General features: G+C 44.6%; 1 long non-coding RNA gene and 1 pseudogene across 1 annotated transcript; one reads left to right on the forward strand and one right to left on the reverse strand.

Annotated features, from left to right (window-relative positions):
* The first annotated feature begins 14 nt into the window (after positions 1 to 14).
* Positions 15 to 23,750, forward strand: MAGEA6-DT (MAGEA6 divergent transcript). The gene is made up of 4 exons (XR_001755998.2): positions 15 to 126; positions 1,090 to 1,148; positions 20,976 to 21,035; positions 21,785 to 23,750. It is a non-coding gene; the product is annotated as an MAGEA6 divergent transcript (long non-coding RNA).
* Positions 14,578 to 19,691, reverse strand: PSMAGEA (MAGE family member A4 pseudogene; annotated as a pseudogene).
* Positions 23,751 to 24,345: the final 595 nt, after the last annotated feature.

Raw genomic sequence — 24,345 nt, forward strand, 5'->3', positions numbered from 1 at the left:
ATCTCGCGGTCTTCTGACCTCCAATGCGCAAGTCAGTGGCGTCACATCCTGGCAACGGTACTACCCTGGGTTCCGGGCAGGGGTGGAACTGGATTCTGCCTGGATGGGGATCGGATGGGGGTGGAGGTAAGCATGAAGATGGTGATGGGGCAAGGGGTAAGGATTGGGACGGGGGTCCTGAGGCTGTAGATCCTGGTGGGGTCGGGGGAGTTGGGGGTGGGTGGGCGGGGCCTTCGGTCATCCCTCAGGGTCCTGAAGTTGATGCCTGGCTGAGCCTGGACCGCCATCCTCTGCAGATTGCTTCTGCTCCCCTCAGACCAAGTCTCTGACTCTGAGTCCCCCTGAAGTGGCATTGGGGGAAGGGGTGTGGTCTGGGTGACATCACTGCCTGCGTTTACCAGGGCTGACAAGAGGGGCTGAGCTGGATTCTGTGGTCCCTCTATGGTGTGTGGGGTGGGGGGGCGGTGTGGACCCTCAGTCCTCACTCAGGAGGGTCGTTTTCGTCACCTCTGGCTGTTGGATGAAGTGATGGGCAGGAGATGCTCTGTTTCTGTCACCTGTGAGCATTTGCACAGCTGCACCCCTTGTAGAGAATGCCTGCGGGTCCCAGGCCAGGTGCTCCCTGCAGGGCGGGGCGGCAGCTCCCGCGGTTGTAGTGACCTCCTATTTCAGTCTTTGTGTTCTGTTGAAAGAATTTTTTTTTTTAAAAAATGTAATTCCTCTCCCACTATGGTGGTTTCAGGTTGTTATTAGCAGAACTCTGGAGTCATACTGCCTTAACCAACCAAATTTTCCTGGTGTCCTGCTATTACCTAGGGCTCTTGGCATCGTGTTTTCAGAGGCTGCCTCAGATTGTGCAAAGAAGTGAAGTGGAAAATTTCAAACTTTTATTCTACCCATTCTGTCATCTACCGTGTAGGCCGGCTACAAACCTCCCCAACATCCCTGCTGCTAACCCCCTCCAACCAACACTGCAAGTGTCAAACACAAGTACCAGCTCAACACAGCCTTGAGTCTCACCCTGGGCTTTCCCTGTTTTGTTGCTGATACTGGTTTTTTATTTACTGTTTCCATTCTGTAATTTTCCAGGTTTGATTTGGGAAGCAGAGCACAGCAGCCCAAATTTGTTGTAATGGCGGCGGCTACAGGTAAGGCACTAAATTGTAAATAATTTAAGCTGAGTTTACATTTTTACAGTGTTGTGCTCCCCATGAATGAATATATTATACTCCTCTATGTATTTCAAGGTTTTTTTTACCTGAATATGTCAGTATACTTCGACAGTTGTCTCTATAAAGACCTTATACATTTTTATTAGACTTCTTTTCAGGCAATTCATGAATTTTGTTGCTATTGCAAATGGCATATTGTCTATTAATTGTTGTAGTTAGTTATTGCTTTCGTGAGGTGAAGATTTTGATTTTGCTGTAGTAATCTGTTGCACACCTCGTTCTGAAGGCCGATGCACTTGAATATTCCACATACCTTTTCCTTTGAATTTTCAAGATCGATAATGGTATTATCACTAAACATTACATATTCTTCCAGTATTCATACCACTTACTCATTTTGGTACTTATAGCTCTTTGTGTCTCAATCCTGATTTCAATCGTAGAGATAATAGCCTACATCTACTTCTCGTTCCTGACGTGAATGATAATTATTCGAACGTTTTGCATTTAAGTATGTTTGCTGTTGATTTTAGGAAGTGCAATTTCTCTTTGAATATAGGTTAAATACTTTTTTTTTTTTTTTTACCATGAACTCATATTAAATTTCTTTAAAAAGCTTTTTCTGTACCCGTTGACGCAATCAAATTTTTTTCTCCTCCATTTTGTATGTAAGGAATTACAATGAAACCGTTTTTTTTTTTCCCCTAATGTTAAACCGTATGTTATTTCCTTGGGCAGAGCCTGTTTATTTAATATGCTAGTAATTTACGTAGGATATTTGCTGCTATGTAAGGGAGCTTACTTAATGTGTGCTTTTTTTCCCATCAAGGGTGGGATGTGGTCCTCATCTGGTTTTTGAATCCAGGAGGGCTAGTCTGGAAGAATGAATTGAACAATTGTAAATATTTTGTATGTTCTAGAAGAGATGAGATAAGATGGTGGTTAGTTTTCCCTGATCATTTGGTAGAATTGGCCTCCAATACTGCCTAACCTGGAATGTTTGAAGGTGGCTTGAGCTTTGAACATTGTACAGTTTCAGTTTTTATAGTTTAATTAAAGTTTTCTTTTTCTTTTTGGATCAGTTTGGTTACTGGTTTATTTTATTTCTACAAAGTGGTCAGTTTCATTTAGGATTTCACTTTTAATGGCATATTTATTATAAAAAAAGTTTTACTAGGGAAAGCCTTCACACATACAGAATAATAGGAACTAATGTAATGAACCCAGGATACTAGATACCCAGCATGAACAACTTTAAATACACAGCAAATCTGGTTCCAGTTAGACACTTGCCTACCTGCACATCAGCTTCTGGAATAACGTGGAGCGAATCTAAGGCATTAGACCATTTCATCTCGAAATAACTCAATATGCATTTTTAAAAGATAAGGACGTTTTATTAAACAGAATCCCAATAGTTTTCATATCTGAAAAATTATATAAATGATTATCAAATATTCAACTATTTTACATGCTTATCTGGCCGACTTATACTTTATAAAAAACATATTTCTTTGATGGAGTACCCAAATATGGTAACTTTCCCGCCACTTGCTTCACTGTAGTGGTTTCATACATGTATAATACAGCTAGGTTTGTGTGTGTGTGTAACATTCTACATTCTGTCCCATGATTCTCCAACTTCTTAAGTTACTTTTAGACTTTACATACATTAAGCTTCACTCTTTGTGCTGTAAAGATCTATGGGTTTTGACAAATGCCTCGTGCCGTTGTCTTAGTCCCTTTGGGCTTCCATAACAAAAATAGTGTAGACTGGGTGGCTTATAAACAACACAACTTTATTTCTCACATTCTAGAGGTTGGGAAGTCCAAGATCAAGGTGCTGGCAGATTTCATGTCTGATGGAGACCTGCTCCCTAGTTCATAGACAGTTGCCTTTCCCCTATGTCCTCACATGGAAGAAGGGGCAAGGGATCTCTGTGGAGTCTATTTTATAAAAACACTGATCCCATTCATGAGGACTCTGCTCTCATGAACTAGTCATTCTCCAAATACCCCACCTTCTACCTAATACCATCACCTTGGTATTTCAGCAGATGAAGTTTGTGGGAACACAAATATTCAGATGAAAGCAAGCATGCATCCACCATTACAGTATTACCATACTAGTTTCACTGCCCTGATAAATCCCCTGTGCTTGTCAGATAACCCCCTTGGCTGCCACTGATAGGTGTTTCATCTTTATAATTTTGCCTTTTCCTGAATGTCATATAAATAGACTCGCATACTATGTAGCCTTTTTAGACTGGTTTCTTTCACCTAGCATAATGAACTGAAGAGTCATGTATAACTTTGTGTGGCTCAGAACTTATTCCTTTTCATTGAGGAGTAGTAGTATCATTGTCTGGTTGTACCATAGTGCGTGTGTATATATATATCCATCCACCAAATGAAATACATTTTGGATGCTTCTATTTTTGGTGATTATGAAATAATCTTTTGTATACAATCGTATACAAATTTTTATGTAGACGTAAGTTTTCACGTCAATTGGGTAAATTGATTATGACTGCTGAATCTTATGCTGTGTTCAGTTTTTTAAGAAAACGCCAAATTGTCTTCCAAAGTGGCTGTACCATGTTGCATTTCCACCAGCAATGAATGAGAGTTTCTGTTGCTCCACATCTTCCCTGGCAATTGATCTTGGTTTTCTTTTCTTTTTTTTTTTTTTTTTGCTTTTTTATGGATTTTGGACATTCTAATAGGTGTGTAGTGGTATCTCATTTTAGTACACAGTTATCTAATGAGAACGGATTCTCAGTACTTTTTTATGCTTATTTGCCATGTGTATATCTTCTTTTGTGAGGAGTGTGTTCAGATCTTTGCCTATTTTCATGTTTTTTCTGTCGTTGAACTTTAAGAATTCGTGTATGTTGTAGAGATATGTTCTTTATCACATATGTGTACCACCGATGTTTTCTGCTAGTCTGTGGCTTCTGTTTTCATTCTCTTAACATTGTCCTTTGAAGAGCACATGATGTTTATTTTAATAAAATCTACTTGGTAAATTTTTCTTTCATTGATCATGCTTTTGGTGTTGAATTTAAAAACTCACCACTGAACTCAAAGTTATGTGAATTTTCTCTTATGTTTTCTTATAGAGGGTTGTATAGTTTTTGCATTTTGCATTAGGTCTGTGATTTATATCGAGTTAATTTTTCTGGAATATGTAAGGATGTTTCTAGGTTATTATAATTTGCCTGTAGATGTCTAATTGTTCAGGCACCTTTTGCTGGAAAAACTGTACTTTCACCATTATTGCCTTTGTTGTGAATCACCTGACTATAAGTGTGCAGGTCTATTTCTGAGCTCTATTCTGTTTTATTAATCTATGTGTGCATTCTTTGCTAATGCTTATGTCCTCCACCAAATTCATACTTTGAAGCCCTCAGCCCCGGGGTGTCTGCATTTGGAGATGAGGCCTCTAAGGAAGTAATTAATATTAAAAGAGGTCATAAGGGTGGGGCCTTGATCCCATAGGATTAGTATGGTTATAAGCAGTTAGAAGAGACAGAAGAAATTACTTGTGTGCCTGCACTAGCTCTCTCTCTCTCTCTCTCTCTGCACATGCACAGAGGAAAGGCCAAGAACGGATATATTGAGAAAGGGCTATCTACAAGCCAGGAATAAGGCCGTCACCAGAAACCAACCCTGCCAGTCCTTGATCTGGGACTTCCATACTTCAAAACTGTGAAAAAAAATAAATTTGTTTTGTTTCAGCTACTCAGTCCATGGCATTTTGTTAGGGCAGCCTGAGCTTACTAAGACATAACCTCAGGTAACACAATTTTTTTTTGTTTTCTCCTACAGAAAAAAAAAAAACCCATAATTTTGACATTTAAGTCTGTGGTTCATTTTGAGTTACATTTTTGTATGGTGTAAGATATGTGCGATGGTTAGTATTATGTGTCAACTTGTCTAGGCTATAGTGCTCAGCCGTGTGGTCAAACAGTAGTCTAGATGTTGTTGTGAAGGTATTTTGTAGTTGTGATTGACATTTACCATCAGTTGACTTTAAGGGAAGCAGTTTAATCTCCATAATGTGGATGGGCCTCATCCAGTTAGTTGAAGGTGTTAAGAGAAAAGACTAAGGTTTCCTGGAAAAGGAATTCTACCGCAAGACTAACATAAAAATGTTGTGTGAGTTTCTAGCCTGCTGGCCTGCCTCACAGATTTGGGATATACAAGACCTCATAATCACATGAGATAATTCCTTATGAAACCTTTATCTTTCTTTCTCTCCCTCCCTTTTTACATAGATAGATATGTAGGTAGGTAGCTAGATAGATAGATAGACAGGAAGAAAGCAATTACGGATTGAAATTCAGTTTTGCATATAGATATCCAGTTGTTCTAGACCCAGTTGAATACACTATCATTTCTCTCCTCGAATCTTCATTTGTATCTTTATCAATATTTGACTTATATATATATGCATATACATGTGGATCCATTCCTGGACTTTACTCTCTTCTTTTTATGTGTTTCTAAATTTAGGACAATTCCACACTATACTGATTATTGTTAGTTAATAAACCTTCAAATGAAGTAGGGGAACCCCTCTGTATTTATTCCTTTTCACACAGCTGATAAAGCATACCAGAGACTGGGAATGTTACAAAAGAAAGATGTTTATTGGACTTGCAGTTCCACGTGGCTGGGTAGGCCTCACAATCATGGTGGAAGGCAAGGAGGAGCAAGTCACGTCTTACATGGATGGCGGCAGACAAAGAGAGAGAGAGCTTGTACAGGGAAACTGCCGTTTTTAAAACCATCAGATCTCTTGAGACTTATTCACTATCACGAGAACAGTATGGGAAAGACCCAACCCCATGATTCAATTATCTCCCACTGGGTCCCTCCCACAACATGTGGGAATATTGGGAGCTACAAGATGAGATTTGTGTGGGGACACAGAGCCAAACAATATCATTCCACATGTGGCCCCTCCCAAATCTCATGTCTTCACCTTTCAAAACCAATCCTGCCTTCCCAACAGTCCCCCAAAGTCTTAACTCATTTCAGCGTTAACGCAAAAGCCCACAGTCCAAATCTTGAGAAGTTGTCAAAGGACACTCAGTTTTCTTCAGTTAATAATGTAAAAGGACTGCACTGACGTGGTTAAATTCCCAGGACTCTCAGTTCTTTAGGAATGGACTAAATATCTGGTATCGTCACTTACAAAAGTGTCTTGAACTTGATATAGTTTATGTTCAGAAATTGGTTCATATTTTTTATTTTTATCTTTTAATTCAATTTTTTTTCATGAGCTTTTTGAAGGCCCCCGGATATGCACCCTGTATAAAGGAGAAAAATTCTCGGGACTACTAATTTTGACCGAAATTATTGTTGATTTAATTTATACAAACACAAAAGGTGATACAAACATTTTTATAGCACCTAATGAACATATTTGTGAAATAAATGCATTCAAAAACAAACTAAAACAGAAAAGAATAAAAATATACAATAAAATAGTACACAGCAGGTTGCTGATTGTGGTGACCTCTGAGGTGCGGGCTGAATTGTGGAGGAACTTTATACAGAGAAGAATTGTGAATTATCTGTATTTTAGATTTCTTTTGCAACAAGAATATAGGCACAATTATCTTTTAAATTACAATATCTAAATAAGCCTAACAGCAAAAATAGTAGCTGTGTATTAGTCAGTTAAAGTAACTGAAGTAACTGCTAGCTGATGCAATAGGCAAACCCTGGAATTTGAGTGACATGACAAAACACAAGTTTATTTAATGTGCACATGAGTCCTGATGTGGTTTGACAGGGCCTCTCCACTCTCCCGTGACCCAGGTATCCAGGCAGCTTCCACCTCGGGATTCCACCACCTCAACATGAGGCTGCCATGTTTACTATTAGATGGAGGGAGAAAGCATGGAAATGGCACACTGGCTCTCAGATGTCTAGATGTGACAAACAATGCTTCTGCTCATGTTTCAGTGGTAAGGGGTTGTCACATGACCCTTCCTAACTACAAGTGGACTGTACTGTTCCCATGTATCCAGGAAAGAGAGGAAGATGAGATGTGGGTGAGCACTATAGTCTCTCCCATAAACTGTTGCATAGTAGGTGCTCAACAAAAAGGAACTATTATTATTTGCTATGACAACAGCCCTCTTCATTGCTGGGAGGAGTTTCGGAGAAAACCAGATTTTCTTTACGTTCTCCAACTTTTTTTAAGTGTGTACTGTATGACAGATGCTTTCAAATACAGGATCACATGTAGTTTTCTAAGGATCCAGTATACCTCAGCACCTCGTGTGATATACTAACTTCTTCACTCACTAGTATAGTTAGATATACTAACTATCTTCACTTACTAACACTTTTCTGCACTGTCATTTGCAATAATGTCTGAAACCTTAGTAGGCTGAGAATTTCTCATTCTTTTAATTCATGGGTAAAACCTCAACCTGTGGGTCTCTGCTACCCTCCTGTTACCTGAACGTCTGTTCAGATGCCATTAGACACATTGAAAGCTATGTCTTTCCTGTGGGGCAGATCCACAGACCAGAAGTAGTGCCAAGAGAGTTCTTTTTTTCATTTCTGATTTTTTTTCCATTTCTAATCAGAGCTAGCATGCCTACCGAGGAACCACTTTTCGTCTCCTAGGAGAACTTTAGGGTTTTAGGAATTCAGCTTCAGTAGATATTTGCCCCACAGTGATTTTGACAGTCCTTCCTCATCTGTCACTTATGAAGGAGATGCTGTGAACTGAACTGTGCCCCCACCCCCACCAAAACTCATATGTTGAAACCCTAAGACCCAGTGTGATGTATCTGTAGATGAGGCCTTTGGACGTAATTAGAGTTAGATGAGGTCATTAAGGTGGAACCTTCGTGATGGGATTACCGCTCTTATAAGAGACATCAGAGAGCTTGCTCGCATTCTCTCCTTCTGCCATGTGCAGACACACAGAGAAGGTAGCTGTCTACAAGCCAGGAAGAGACCCTCACCAGGCATCAAACCTGCTAGAACCTTGATCTCAAACTTCCCAGCCTCCAGAAATGCGAGAAACATCTACCTATTTGTTTAAGCCACCCAGTGGTACTTTGTTATGGTACTTTGTTATGGCAGCCTGAGCTAATACAAGAGGCTTTGGCTTTTGACCATCTATGTATGTGCTCTGTGGCCAGTTTCCAATGAGACAGCTTATTAAAGTCCTATTGTAAATATAGGATGGTTTCAAACACTTTCTAACTTCAGGGTTGTATCCCAGGAACTGATATATTATAAGTCAAAATCAGACGCTACTCACCAGCTGACTTGGAAAACATTTTAAGAATGTGTTGAAGACATCCAACAGGATGATCAGATGTCTAAAGGTCTCTATTCAAAGTCAAATGTATTTTTGCTATTAGAGGGGCCCCAGTGTGAGGAACAGGGACAGTCAGGGGACTTCTCCAGAAAGTAGAACTGTTCTATGTTAGGAGAAGGGCAGGTGACTCTTGGCTGTCCCACTGGAAGTAGGGCACAGCCTTTAAAGGATGCAACCATGAAGAGCTTAGCAGCAAGCTCGATTCCAGAATTGGACAGGCAGGCACATGGGGCAAGACCATTGTGGAAGGGTGCTATAATTCGGGAAAGTGCTGGGAATGCACAGAAATGCTGGCACCTGGACAGAGTTGGCTCTCAAGGAACCACAGACGATTCCTAAATTGTGTTGGTTCTCATTGTCACCTTCCTTCATGTCTTAGTCATTTCATGCTGCTGTAACAAAATGCTATAGACTGGGGGTCTTACACAACAGATGCTTATTTTCTCCCAGTTCTGGAGGCTGGGAAGCCAAAAGTCAGAATGCCAGTATGGTGGGTGTCTGGTGAGGGTCTTCTTTCTGGCTTATGGATGCCCACCTTCTCTGTGAGTCCTCACATGGCAGAGAGAGAAAGAGAAAAATGTGCAAGCTCTCTGGCATTTCTTCCTATAAGGACACTGATATGGTCTGGATCAGTGTCCCCACCAAATCTCACGCTGAATTGTAATCCACAGTGTTGGAGGTGGGGCCTGGTGGGAGGTGATTGGATCATGGGGGCAGATTTCTCATTAATAGTTTAGTACCATCACCTTGGTACTGTGCTCATGATAGTGAGTGATTTCTCACGACATACGGTCATATAATAGTGTGTGGCAATGCCCCCCCCGTCTCTCTTGCTCCTGCTTTCACCAAGTGAAGAGCCTGCTCCTTCTTTGCCTACTGCCATAAGTAAAAGCTCCCTAAGGCCTCTCCAGAAGCAGATGCTGCCACGCTTCCTGTACATCCTGCAAACCGTAAGCCAATTAAACCTATTTTTTTTTAATAAATTACCCAGTCTCAGGTATTTCTTTATAGCAACGCAAGAATGAACGAATACAGACATTAATCCAATCATGAGGGCCTACGCTCTCAGGAGCTCATCTAACCCTAATTACCTCCCAAAGGCCCCATCTCCAGACCATCACATTGGGACTTAGAGCTTCAACATATACATTTTTTTTTTTTTTGGAGGGGAGCACATTTCAGTCCATAGCACTTCTTTAGGCATACTTTTTGTAGCTTGACCACAGGGTCCTTCTTTTGGTTGCCTGAGAGACGTGGATTCCTGAGAAGTAAATAGCAAGACGAAGGTCTGCTTCAGGTTGGGACGCGAAGGAATGACATACACTCAGATGAATTCGGACCATGTGTATTAGTTTGCTTTGGCTATCATAACAAGGTACCACAGACTGGGGGAGCTTAAGCGTCAGAAATGTATTTTCCCAGTCCCGGAGGCTACAAGTTCAGGCTCAAGGTGTGGGCAGGGTTGAGTTGTCCTGAGGCCTGTCTCCTTGACTTGTAGATGGCCATTCTCTTCCTGTGTCTTCACATGGTCTTTCCTCTGTGTGTGTCTGTGTCCTAATGTCCTCTTCTTATAAGGACACCAGTCATATTGGATTGGGGCCCATCCTAATCTAGCAGGGATGCAATCCCAACCGTGTTGCTTATTAGCCATGTAATTATGGGGAAATCATCAAGCCGCATGAGCATCAGGTTCTTCATCTGTGAAGCAGGTTTGATAAAGTCTGTCTTATAGGACTTTTGGAGTGTGTGCAATGTAAGTAAAGCACTTGGCTCAGGGCCTGGCATATATTAGATCGTTAATGTTTGGCAGTTATTTGTGTTACTATTTGGAACTCAGATCCTACCATAGTTGCCTCTGGGAATTTTGTTGTTGCTGTTGTTATTGTTATCTAGGAAACCTCAGAGTACGTAGCACAACAGTACAGAGAATAGAATACCAACTCAGCCCAAAGTGTTGCTTCATAGACAAAACACAGTAGAATTTCCCTCCTAGAGGATCTATTGTTTAATTTGTGTGTGGAGGAGTCTTCTTCAGCTGGATTGCAGCTCAGTGTTCCTGGAACGTGAGTCCAGGACCAACTCTTTTCCTCCCTCTCAGCTGCTTTTCCATCTCAACCACTATTTTCATTCATATAATCACCACGCAAAATCTAGCCCATGCTCAGGAATGGCCAAATTACACTTGAGATAACCTAATTAGAATGCCATTTGACTAGAGTCAGCTCTAGCTCTCCCACTAAGGCAGAAGAGTACCTTGCCAGTGGCTTCTGGGCCTCCCTTCCTGAGAGATTCACCCTTACCTCCCAGGAAACCCTTGCAGATGATGAGTATCCATCACCTAGCTCTTGGGCTGTATTCAACCGCACTGGGATAAGAGCACAGGATGCCTTCCATTCCTGCCCCAGGTGGAAACTCGTCTATGTTCATCCACCAACCATAATGAACTGCTCAGAGCAGTTTTCCATTCCAGGCTTTTCTCTCCCTGAGAATCTGACCCTGGACCCACCAGCTTCATTAGAATCAGCTTCCTCCGAAGGAACTGCAGTTTCCCAAAGCCCAAAAGGCCCTGGCTCAGGGCATTTACACTCCACCACTCTCACCGGGAGCACCACACATTCTGCCCTCTCTTACTTTTCCTCTAGGTCTTAGAGGAAATCTCACCAACTTAATTTTATGACTATAGCTCCTAGACCCTACCACCCTTCGGGTAGGGGTGGGTCTGACTTATGCCAGTATCTCCAGTAACACAGTGCTTTCCAAAGAGCAGATGCTCAGTGAGTGTTTGAGAAAGAATGAGCCAGTGACCAGGACTTCCATTTAAGATATAATTTCTCCTACATCCTTGAATAAGCCAAGAAAATCCAGGTACACATATATGGCTTAATTTTATAGAACAGCACATGAATAAAAAGCTGAGAATTAACTGTCTTTTCCTTTTATTTCTATTTTTTAGAGTAAAGTGAGAGCAAGTTTATTAAGAAAGTAAAGAAATAAAAGAATGGCTACTCCATAGCCCTGAGGGCTGCTGGTCGCCTTCTTATTTTTATTTTTATTTTTATTTTTATTTTTTTTTTGAGACAGAGTCTCACTCTGTCGCCCAGGCTGCAGTGCAGTGGCGTGATCTCGGCTCACTGCAAGCTCCGCCTCCCTGGTTCATGCCATTCTCCTGCCCCATTCTCCCAAGTAGCTGGACTGCAGGTGCCTGCCACCATGCCCGGCAAATTTTTTGTATTTTTAGTAGAGACAGAGTTTCACTGTGGTAGCCAGGATGCTGTCGATCTCCTGACCTCGTGATCCACCCCCTTTGGCCTCCCAAAGTGCTGGGATTACAGGCGTGAGCCATGGCGCCCGGCTGGTTGCCCATTTTTATGGTTATTTCTTGATTATATGCTAAACAAGGGGTGGACTATTCATGAGTTTTCCAGGAAAAAAGTGGGGAATTCTTGGAACTGAGGGCTCCTCCCCTTTTTCAGCCATATAGGGTAACTTCCAAACGTTGCCATGGCATCTGTAAACTGTCGTGGTGCCGGTGGGAGTGTCTTTTAGCATGCTAATGCATATAATGAGCAGTGAGGATGACCAGAGGTCACTCTCATTGCCATCTTGGCTTTGGTGGGTTTTGGCTGGCTTCTTTACTGCAACCCGTTTTATCAGCAAGGTCTTTATGACCTGTATCTTGTGCCGACATACTGTCTCATCCTGTGACTAAGAATGCCTTACCTCCTGGGAATGTAGCCCAGTAGGTCTCAGCCCTATTTTACCCAGACCCTGTTCAAGATGGAGTTGCTCTGGTTCAAACACCTCTGACATTTCCCTCCTCCCTTTTATCTGAGAACCTTTATTCCTAAGGGTTGTAGAGGGATGAAGATCCATCTTCTGTAACTTCTTCAGGCTGAATAGGGGTGATGATATTACTGCCTAATTATGAGAGTCTTTTGAATTCAGGACAGAGAGGAGCTCAGTCAGAAAGCGTCAGTTTGGTGAGGGTCATACACAACTCTGAGTTCTGACAAAACATGTTATCTGGAAGATTAATAAGTGTTCAGTTTAAGAAAACATTGAGTAAGCTTATCCTGCACTCCTGCACCAAGAATACAACACCAGTGTATTCCACAACAGTAAAGCAAAATAAGTAAAATTATCCCAAGGTAAACTAAGTAAGAAGGCTTTCCTTGAACTGGGCAACTGTTAGAACCAGGCTGATACGGGGTCACTATCTGATTTCAATATGTGCCCAGAACTAGAATATTGATCCAGATTTTTACATTACCCATCCCTCTTGCTTCTTCTAAATAGCAGTCAGGGATCACTGATTGGTTCACAGGAATAAGAAAAGTGAGTCTAAATTGCAGAAAAAAACTTTAAAACAACGAATGAAACTAGAATCTAATAACAGGTGCACCATAGTTTTTGCAACATCATATTTTTTTCTCTCTCCAGTCTCCCATTTTTACTAAAGACAAATCATGGTAAGACTGGTTTGTTTTATTATACTTGGCCTGATCATTTGTATAAAGTGCAGCAAGAATAATTATTTTTCACATACGCTCTTTATATTTTTATTTTTATTTTATGTTTTAATAGAGGCAGTCTCCCAATGTTGCCCAGTCTGGTCTCGAACTCCTGGGCTCAAGCAGTCCTCCTGCCTCAGCCTCCCAAAGTGCTGGGACTGCAGGCATGAGCCACCACGCCCAGCCTCACATAAGCTCTTTTAAAACTGGCTTTGATGGGCCGGGCATGGTGGCTCACGCCTGTAATCCCAGCACTTTGGGAGGCTGAGGTGGGCGGATCACCTGAGGTCAGGAGTTCAAGACCAGCCAGGCCAACATGTTGAAACCCCATCTCTACTAAAAGAAAAAAAAAATTATATATATATATATACACACACACACACACACACACACACACACAGACACACACACACACATATATACACATATATATGTGTGTATATATATATATGTGTGTGTGTGTATATATATATATATATATATATAAGATTAGCCGAGCGTAGTGGTGGGTGCCTGTAATCCCAGCTACTCGGGAGGCTGAGGCAAGAGAATCGCTTGAACCCAGGAGGCGGAGGTTGCAGTGAGCCAAGATCACCCTCCTGCACTCCAGCCTGGGCAGCAAGAGCAAAACTCGGTCTCGAAAATAAATAAATAAATAAATAAATAAATAAATAAATAAATAAATAAATGAAAATAAAAAATAAAAATAAATGGCTTTCATGGAGCTCTGTTCCATAGAAGGAATCTCAGATAAGACCTTTTTAAAGCTGAGTCCAGCCTGGGGTGGGTGCCGTCAAATACCTCTGAGTTGGGTAAAATCCTCTCCTCTTGAGGTCCCAAGATAACTTGGGGCTCCTGGGCCTGTCAGATAATGACATTCTTTACTTACCACAGGTCAGTAACCCTGCACAGGGACTGTGTAGACAAGTTATGAGGCTAGTTTTCCCAAGGGGTTTTTATTGGCTCTATAAGTCAAGTTTGATCCCTTAAAGGAAAGAACACCATTCCAGTCAAAGCCTTGGTAAAATAACCAGTTTCTCCAATTGTGTCTTGTTGCAAAAGAAAACAGATTCTTATTGCACTTATGCAAATAACTATATTGCTATAAGTTAAGAATATTCACAAGCAGTTTCCAAATTCTAGAGAAATTAGGTAGAGAGAAACAAATATGCTCTGAATTTTGTTCACAGAAGTATACTTTACTGAATTGTTAAAAGCTGTCAATAGCCCAGAAGAAAAGTTTTCCTGACTCCAAAGTCTGCCAGTCAGTGCTGCCGTCTATTTCCTTTGGGTCAGGGGGTTTCCTCAGTATTGTCCCTTCAGGGTTCACCGGAAAGATGTTACTGGAATGGGGTCCCAGTGCAGACTCCAAAAGAGGGTTCTTGGAGCTCGTGCAAGAAAGAATTCGAGGTGAATCCATAGAGTAAAGTGAGAGCAAGTTTATTAAGAAAGTAAATAAAAGAATAGCTACTCTACGGGCAGAGCAGCCTATCTTTTCCTTTTATTTCTCTGTTTCATGACCCCATCAATTTTTTTGCTAATGTATTTCATTCTCCAAGGAAACACCTATTCCAATGCCATGGCATCTTGTTCCAAACCGCAAAACCAGATGAAGGGCTTCCCAATATGTTTTACAAAATAGCAAACTCATCCAAATAGAACAGAACACAAAGACATTATACACTGAGTTCCCTTCCACCCACCGTGCCTTTCACTAGTGAGAACGCTGACTGCTCTCTTTAGAGTGAAGAATGGGCCTCATGTCACACAGGGTGGGGAAGCTGCTGGATGTAGCCCTGGAACGTGCACTAGTCCACCCCACCCTCCACTGGCCCTGGCTGCATCGCCTGCTGAAACTCTCTCTTCCTCATAGCATGCAGGATCACTTCTGGGCACCTGCCAGTACTCCAGGTAATTTTCCTGCACCCAATCCCGGGTGAGCAGCTTCCTGGGCTCCCCATAGATGAAGTGCTCCCTCCCAGCATACACCTCTATCACATTCAGGGCTTCCCACATAACCTCCTCTGGGGCGCAGTTGCCCTCCGTGAAGATCACACACAGGACAATTATTAGGAGGCCCGTCTTGGGCTTGCTCGGGTCATCAACCAGCATGCCATCATAGGAGAGGCCCAGAGAGGTGACAAGGACATAGGAATGGCCGGTGGGGACCACTTCCTTCACGTCGATGCCAAAGATCAGCTGCATGTACTCGGAGGATTCCTTGAAAATGAAAGCGAAGTAGTCTTCGTGATTTTTGATGACACTATCCACCATTTCTGCCTTTGTGACTGACTCCTTAATTCGAAACTTGTGGAGCAGGACACTAACTAAATCAGACACCTTGTCAGAGTGCCTCTCGGAGGAAGGACTCCATGACACTTGGGATGGGCAAGGTGATTGGCTCCTCCTTTTCTTGGCTGCTGGAGCCCTCATCGGATTGGTTCCATAGAGTGTTATCGATGGTAGTGGGGGAGGAGGAGGCTCCCTGCATACTCTGGGGAGGACTCAGTGCCTCAGCAGCACACAACTCCTCCAGGGTGCCCATGATCAGACTAGAGGAGGAAGAGGCAGCCTCCTCCTCCTCAGGCACAGGACCCTGCCCACCCACCAGGCCAGGGACCTCTCCTTGGGCCTCAAGGCCTTCCTCAGGCATGTAGTGCTGACTCCTCTGTCCAAGAGGCATGATGACTCTGGTCAAGGCAGCAAGCGGGAGTGTGGGCAGGAGCTGGGTAATGGGGATGCACAGGCCTGGGGAGAGAGGGAGCGTGTGAGAGGCCTCAGCTAAGAACCAGACTTTGGAGGAGGCTCTAACAAAGGCCTACTTACGGATCTTCTCCTTCAGTGCTCCTCTGGGGCCTCCTGGGGCTCCTGTCCTCCTGGTCAGCCTGTCCCCTGAGAATCTGAAGAAAGAAGTGACACAGCTTCTCAGGTTACAGCCAGCCAGCAGAGGCCAAGGCCCCAAGGCTGAGGGTAGGGCAGGTGGGGCTGGGCGCTCTGGGGTCCCATCCATTATGGGTGGGTGGGACCCTTGGTATACATTCAGGGTGAACACCTCACCTTGACTGCTGGCACTGCCTGGGTCTCCTCTGCTCTGTGGCTTGAGGACACTGACTCAGACTAAAGCCTCACCTCCAAGTTCCTGGAGCTCCTGGAAGAGGGATCAAGGGGCCCTCAGGGTGCAGGCTGCAAGCACAGCCTCAGTCCCCCGAGTGCTGTCAGGAGGGTGGGCTGGACTCTGTCAGTTCCCTCACTCTTTTGCATAGATGGCCCCTTCTATGCTCACTCAGGACCTTCACGTTTCTCCTAGCAGGGCCTGAATCCTGCCCCTTTGCTGGCCTGAGAAACTCTCAGATCAAGAGCTCATATCCCTGATATGGAACAGAAGGACATGAGGGGACCCACATCTGGCCACACCTGCTCAGGGCTTCCAGGCAAGGACAGTAAGAGGTGGCCATATTCAGCTGGGTCCATGTGTCCTGAGATGAGGAACCTGCTTGGTCCACATCTTGATGCCTGCAGATCCTGGGACTCTCCCTGTTTACCTGAGGCCACCACCTTAAATCAAATCCCTATCTCCAAGAGACACCAGTAAAGGAAGTGAGGGGATTCCATCCACCCACTGTTCCCTGCAGTTTCCCATGCCTGACAGAAAAGGCAGGGCAGGGCTGGGTCATGTGCATTCGCCGTGTGGGGTCCACTTAGTCCTCACCTTGACTCCTGGCTGAGCCTGGGACCCTCCCTCTGACCTAAATGCAGCCCCTCCAACCAAGGCCTCCCCCTCCCTGAGACCACTGATCCTGGTATAAGAGAGGGGGCCTCAACTGACAGCTCTGGCCATGCTCTCTGCGGAAACAGCAGGGGCAAGGCAGATTTCTGTGGGGCCTCCATCTGCCTTCTGGTCCAGCGGTACCCTTAATCCTCCCTCAGGTTCCTCACCTGGGGTCTTAGCAGATCCTGGGTCCGCTCTGTCTGTTAATCAGATGGGGGTCCCTGTGTTGGCCTGAGTAACCCACTGAGAACTAGGTCCTCACCTCCCTGAGATCCCAAAGCCGACATGAGGAGGACTCACATCCCGTCACCCCTCCATGGGGTGTCCAGGGCTGACACCAGGGGCTGCCCCCTTCTGTTCTGGGGTGGAAGTTCCAAAGTTCTCCTGTGGGTTATTCATCTTTACTCCTGCCGGGACCTGCCGTTCCTCAACCCTCAGCCCCCTGAGATGAGCAGACATCTCCCCTTTACACCAAGACCACATCTCCCTGAGGGTTCTCCAACTTCCTGCCCGTGGCACAAGTGAGATTGCCACTTAGGGCCACCCTGGATCAGGTCCCCCCAGAGCTAAGAACAAGGACAGCAGACTCTGCGGGGTCTCTTCTTTCTGGGCTGGGGGTACCTCCAGTCCTCATGAAAGGTGCACACCGTGGGTCCTGCAGATGCTGGGACTCCTCCCTCTGCTGACCAGGTGTGGCTCCCTCTACTGGCCTGTCAGTGTCACTGGGACCAAGGTCCTCACCTCCCTGAGACCTCCCACCTCCAACCACATGGCAGAAATGAGAGCATGCCACATGCCATCCCTGCCTGTGGCCTCCCAGGGCTGAGAACAGGGGAAGCTGGGCGGCTCTGCAAGTTCCCTTCTTCTTTATGATGTGGAGGTAACTTCTTACCTTCAGTCCTTACCAAACTTCCTCCCCTTCACTCCTGGAAGACCCTGGACTCTATCCGGTGCTGACCAGGTGTGGCTACCTCTGCTGAGCGGAGGACGCCCCTCAGACCAAGGCCCCCACCTCACTGAGACCCGGGAGGTAGAGGTGAGGGGGCACCACACGGTCACCCCTGCGTGGGATTCCCAAAGCTGACAGAAGGTGCAAGTTTCAGGGGGCCCTCCGCTGTCTGGGTGTCTTCCAGGTGTTCAGATTGAGTCCCGACAGGGCCCGGCTCTTTCCCTCCTGCTGAACTGTATGCCAAGGCCACCATGTCCCTGATACCCTCAGGGAGAAAGTGGTGGGACAGCATCCCTTCCCCACAGTCCTGCCCAGGCCTCCCAGGACTGACAGTAGGGGCAGGTTTCCTAAGTCTGGGAAGAAAGGTCTTCTGAGTCATCCTTCAGAGCTCTGGGACTCCTCTCTCTGCTGACCTGAGGCCCCACTCCCCAGACCACAGTCCTCTCCTCCCTGACACCCCAAAGGCACAGCGAGTCCAGGCCACATGTGGCCACTGTGCCTGGGACCTCCCAGGGTCGAGGTCCCCACTGATCTGGACTCCAAGTTCCCGTCAGTCCTCCCTCTTCTTCCTGCCCTTGACTCCCGGCAGGCTTGGGCCCCACCCCAGCCTGCTGACCTGAGTCTTCATCCCTCAGATTCCCAAGGCCAAATGAGGAGGCACCTCAGTCTCAAACAGGGGGTGGGTGGGCCCCCTGTCCTGGGGTCCTGGGTGCCCTCGGGCCTCTCTCAGGCCTCCCTTGTCTCCCAGCAGGGCCTGGGCCCTCCCTCTGCTCCCCGCAATCCGTGCTCATGATATGAAGCCCCTTCCCTCCGTCAGCCCTGGATGCCCATGCCAGGATCCACATGCCTGGCCACCATGCCTGGAAATTCCCAGGGCTGACAGCAAGGACAGAGCCCCGCTCTGTGGAGCCCTCAACCCTCTCTGAGGGTCCTGAACGTGATGGCTGGCAGAGCCTGGCTGCTGCCCTCTCCTAGGCAGCCCTGCCCTGATCACACCAACCTCTGACTCCAGAGTCCCCTGAGGCTTAAGTGGCAGAGAGTTGGGGGCGGCCCAGCCTGAGAAGTCCGCCCCCGGGTGGTCCTGGGTTGGCAGCAGGGGTGGTGCTGGATTTTTTAGGGTCCTCTATCTTGGGTTGCAACGGGGTGTCCCTAGTCCTCCCTCAACGCCTCACCTTTCCTTCACACACAGCCCGGGCCCGCTTTCCTCCGCCGATCTTAAGCCACCCCTCAAAACCAGGCCCTCGCTTCCCTCTGATCCCTGAGGCGCAAATCAGTGGCATCACATCCGGGCACCCGGGGCTTCCCTGCGTTGACAGCAGGGGCAAAACCTGATTCTGTCGGGGTGGGGGTGGGGATGGGAATGGGAATGGAGGAGGGGTGGGGGCGAGGATGGGGGTGAAGATGGGGATGGGGATGGGGATCCTGAGGCTGTAGGTCGTGGCGGTGACGGTGGGCTTGGGGGTGAGGGAGGCCCTCAGTCGTTCCTCAGGGTCCTCACCTTGAAACCTGGCAGAACCTGGGCCCTGCCCTCTCCTAACCACCCCTGCCTTGGTCACACCAAGCTCTGACTCCAGAGTCCCCTGTGGCATAAGCGGCGGGGGTTGGCAGGGCGCCGGGGGGTGGCCCAGACTGAGAAGTACTCCCCTAGGTGGTCCAGGGCTGGCAGCAGGGGTGACGCTGAATTATTTGGGGTCCTCTATCTGGGGTGGAGGCGTCCTCAGTCCTCCCTCAGCCTCTCACCTTGTCTTCTCACAGAGCCTGGGTCCACTTCCCTCTGCCAATCTCAAGCCGCCCCTCAGACCGAGACCCTCGCTTCTCTGACCCCCTAGCCGTCACATCCGGCCACCAAGCCTGGGGCTTCCTTGGGTTGACTGCTGGTGTCATAGCGGATTCTGCTATGAGTGGGGGTGGAAATGGGGGTGGGGGTGGGGGGTCGAGGTCGAGGGGGTGGGCACTCTCAGTCATCCTCAAGGTCCTGACCTTGATGCCTGGCAGAGCCTGGATCCCATCCTGTGTGGATGGTGTCTGCTCCCCTCAGACCAAAGCACTGACTCCGAGTCCCCTGAGGTGGCAGTGGAGGGAGGGATATGGTCGGGGCGACAACATTGTCAGGGTCTTCCAGGGCTGACAGGAGGGGCTGAACTGGATTCTGTGGTCCCTCTATGTGGGGTGAGTGGACCCTCAATCCTTACTCAGGAGGGTTCTCCTCTTGGCTCCTGGCTCTTTGATGAAGTGATGGGTGGGGGATGCTCTGTTTCTGTCACCTCTGAGTATTCGCCCAGCTGTACCCCTTGCAGAGAATGGCTGCGGGTCCCAGGCCAGGTGCTCCCTGGGGAGCTGCAGTGCCTGCGATTGTAGTGGCCTCTGGGAGAAGACACACACCTTCCCACGGGGGCTCCTCCCCAGCCAGAAGTCGACTTGTCAAACCTTTTGTCCTAAAGCATTTATTTTTACACTGAAGAGGCTGAGCAGCAGCAAGAGAATTGAGGAGTCCTGCATTTGGAATTTTTGTGACATTTAATTGTACTGTTTAGTGACGTGCATATTTTAATCCGCATTCACACAGTAAGAAATAAATTTTACATTTCTGCTAATTGTATGTGTACATTATATGTCATATATGTAGACTATGCTTATGTTTAGATACATAAACATGTATGTATATAAGTTTGTTATATATGAATAATTTTATGTATTCACACTATATATCTTTACAGATATATATGTACATATATTACATATACTTATTTCATTAAACAATATCTACTCATACTATGTATGATTCACTCATGCTATTCCATTTCTAGTTCATTCTTTATATTCTATTTAAATTACATTTTTGGAAGGCCAGGCCTCACCTACTAAGTTGGTGTCAAGTGGGTATTAACAGAACTCTGGAGCCATCATGTCTCAATCACACCAAGATTCCTGGTGTCCTGATATTACCCCAGGGCTACTGGCATCACATTGTGAGATGCTGCCTCATATTAGGCAATAATATGGGGTGGGAGTTTAAAATAATTTTTCCTTCTACCCATTCTGTAGTGTGCTGTCAGCGCAGGCTACAGACCTCCCCAACTTCTCTGCCACTACCCCATGCCCCAAACACAAGTAGCAGTTCAATGCAGTCTTAGTCTCCCCAGGGATTTCTCTGTTTTGTGGTTTAGATTTTATTGCTAATCCTTTTTTTTTCTTTTTCCATTCTATACTTTTCCAGAATTGATTTTGGGAACAGAACACAGCAGCCTGAACTTGATTGTTATTTTGGCAGCTACAGGTAAGGCACTAGCTCTGTATATAATTTAAGCAGAATTGACATCCTTGCAGTATTCTGTTTTCCATCAATGAATTTATGACACTCCTCCATTTATTTGGAAAATTTTTTCCAGAATCTATCAGTAAACTTATACAGTTGCCTCCGTGAAGATCTTATATATTTTTGTGAGGCTTCTGTTTAATTTTGGATTTTATTGCTTTTTTGAATGCTATATTTTCTGTTTCATATGTTCTAAGTTGCTTTTGTGTGGCAAGCCTCTTGATTTTGCTGTAGTGAACTACTATTTGCTGGTTTCTGAAGCCTCTTATTTATTTGAATATTCCATGTGTCTTTTCCTTTGAATTTTCTTGATAGATAATCATATTCTCAACAAATATTATCTTTCTTTTCAATCTTCATACCTCTTTTTCATTTTGATATCCATAGCTCTGACTCTTTTGCATTTTTGCTACCCACTGCAGCTATGGACAGTAGCCATGACAGCATATGTCAACGACTTGTGTCTGACATGAATGTGAATGCTTCTTCTAAAAGTTCATATTTAAATATGGTTGCTGCCAATTTTAGGAAAGGGAAGTTCCTTTTCATCTTAGTTTGCTGAAAGTTGTCAATTTGAAATCACATAGTATTTCTTTCAGAGGCTTTTTCTGTACTCATCGAAATGACCAAATGTTTTTTCTACTCTATCTTGTATGTACAGAATTACAATTGAATTGTTTCTAATGTGAAATAATTCTTTTGGCTTGAAGGCAGAACAAGAAGGCCAAACAGAAGCCTCCACCAATTGTCCTCCCTGCAGGAAGATCAAATTGAACAACTATCCACACAAAGAAGCACTTTAATGAGAATGAAAAATCAGGTGAATGATCATAGTACCTGGTTCTAACTTCATACCACTGAAAGGGGCACTGAAGATGGTAGGAGAGACAGTCTTGAATTGCTAACACCATCCCTGCCCCATCTCCCAGTAGTTGCTGTGTGGCACGGAAAGAGAATCTGTGTGTTTAAGGGAGAGAGAGGGCAGTGATTGTGGGACTTTGCGTTGGAACTCACTACTGCCCTGTTACAGCAGAAAGCAACACCAGGCATAACTCAGCCGGTACCCACAGAGGGAGCATTTAGACCAGCCCTAACCAGTGGTCAGAACCTGAGTTCCACAAGCCTCACCACTGTGGACTAAAGTGGTCCGTGGTGCTAAATGAAAGGCAGTCTAGGCCACAAGGATTACAATTCTTGGGCAAGTCCTGGTGCTGGGCTAAGCTCAGAGCCAGTGGACTTAGGGGGCATGCACCCTAGTGAGATACCAACTGGGGTGGCCAAGCGGGTGCTCGTACCACCCCTCCCTCAACTGCAGGTAGTACAGCTTGCAGCTTGCCTGTAGTCTCAGCTACTCGGGATGCTGAGGCAGGAGAATGGCGTCAACCTGGGAGGCGGAGCTTGCAGTGAGCCGAGATCGTGCGACTGCACTCCAGCCTGAGCAACAGAGCGAGACTCCATCTCAAAAAAATAAAATAAAAAATAAAAATAAATAAATAAAGTAGTTGATCCATGGGTAGATATATACATACATACAAATACGTATATGTGTGTGTATGTATATATATGCACAGTAGAACCAGAACTGTTAACCCCCATCCTTGTGGGAAACAGACTTATCAACTAGACTGCAGTGCTTTTCACTATAGTGCTTCTTTCACTTAACGCTAAGCTCATGTGTTTCTGTTGCTTGATAGCTCATTTCTTTTTTTCACGAATAATGTTCTATTATTGTTGGACCACAGTTTGTTTATCCGTTCACCTACTGAAGAACATCCTGGTTGTTTCCAGTTTTTAGTAATTATGAAATAAGTTGCCATACACCCTTGTATGCAAGTTTTTTGTGTGGAAGCAAGTTTGCAAACTAGTTGGATGCATACCTAGGAATAGCAAGACTTGTGTTCAGCTTTGTTGAAAACAAACAAACAAACAAAAAACTGACAAACCATCTTTGAAAGTGGCTGTACCAGTTTGCATTCCCAGAAGCAATGAGTAAGAGTGTCTGTTGCTCCTTAGTGTTGCCAGCAAGTGGTATTGTTAGACATTCTAATAGCTGTGTATCTCATTGTTATTTAATTCACAATTCACTAACGAAGAATGATGTTGATGGTCTTGTCTTATGCTTATTTCCCATCTGTATATCTTCTTTGGCGATGTGTCTGTTCAGAGTTTCTGCCCATTGATTGAGTTTTTATAAATTTGTTTTCTTATTGTTCAGTTGTAAGCCTCCTTTGTAGATTTTGGATACAGATCTTCTATCCGATATATGTTTTGCAAACACTTGGTCATAGTCTGTGGCTTCTCTTTTCTTTTTCCTAACAATGTCTTTCAAAGAGCTTTCGAGGTTTCTTTTTTATTTTTAGAAAGTCTAACTTATCAATTTTGCCTTTCATAGACCACCCTTTTGATGTTGTATCTAAAAAATTTATCACCAAAACCCAGGTCATGTAGATCTTCCCCTATTTTCTTCAAGAAGTTTTATAATATTGCATTTTAAATTTGAGTCTATAATATACTTTGAGGTTATTTTTTGTGAAAGATATAAAGTTTTATCTAGGTTCATTTCTTTGCATATTGAGATCCATTTGTTCAGGTGCCCTTTGTTGAAAAGACTATCATTTCTCTATAGGATTATCTTTGCATCTTTGTCAAAAAATCAGTAAACTATATTTTTATGGATCTATTTCTATTTTGTTCCATTGATGTGTGTCCATTCTTTTGGCAATATCATACTTTGTAGATTGCTGTACCTTTACAGAACAAGTGGTGTACCGAAGCTGACATCAACCATGAGAAATCATATTTCTAATAGGTTCCTTTTACATGATGTGAAGAGAATGGCATTTTACCTCTGAGATCTTCCCCCTGGAAGTTCATACTCTCATTCTAATCATGACAGACGTATAAGACAAATCCCAGTAGAAGGGCTTTATGCACAATAGCTGACCAATGCTACTCGAAACTGTGAAGATCAAAGTCATCAAACGTAGGGAAAGTCTAAGACCTGCCACAGCTAAGAGGAGCCTATGGAGACATGACGAGTAAATGTGAAACGATGGTCCTACATGAAACTCTGGAACAGAAAAAAAAATGCATTAGGTAAAAACAAAGGAAATCTGAATAAAGTATGTGCTCTGGTTAATAGCAATGTGTTAATATAGGTTCAATAGTTGTAACAAATGTACCATACTAATGGAAAATGTTAATAATAGAGGAAACGGTGTAGAGCATAAGGCACTCAATACTAGGTTTTCTATTTTTCTCTAAGTCTAAA

Source organism: Homo sapiens, chromosome X, assembly GCF_000001405.40.
Source record: "Homo sapiens chromosome X, GRCh38.p14 Primary Assembly".
NCBI lineage: Eukaryota > Metazoa > Chordata > Mammalia > Primates > Hominidae > Homo > Homo sapiens.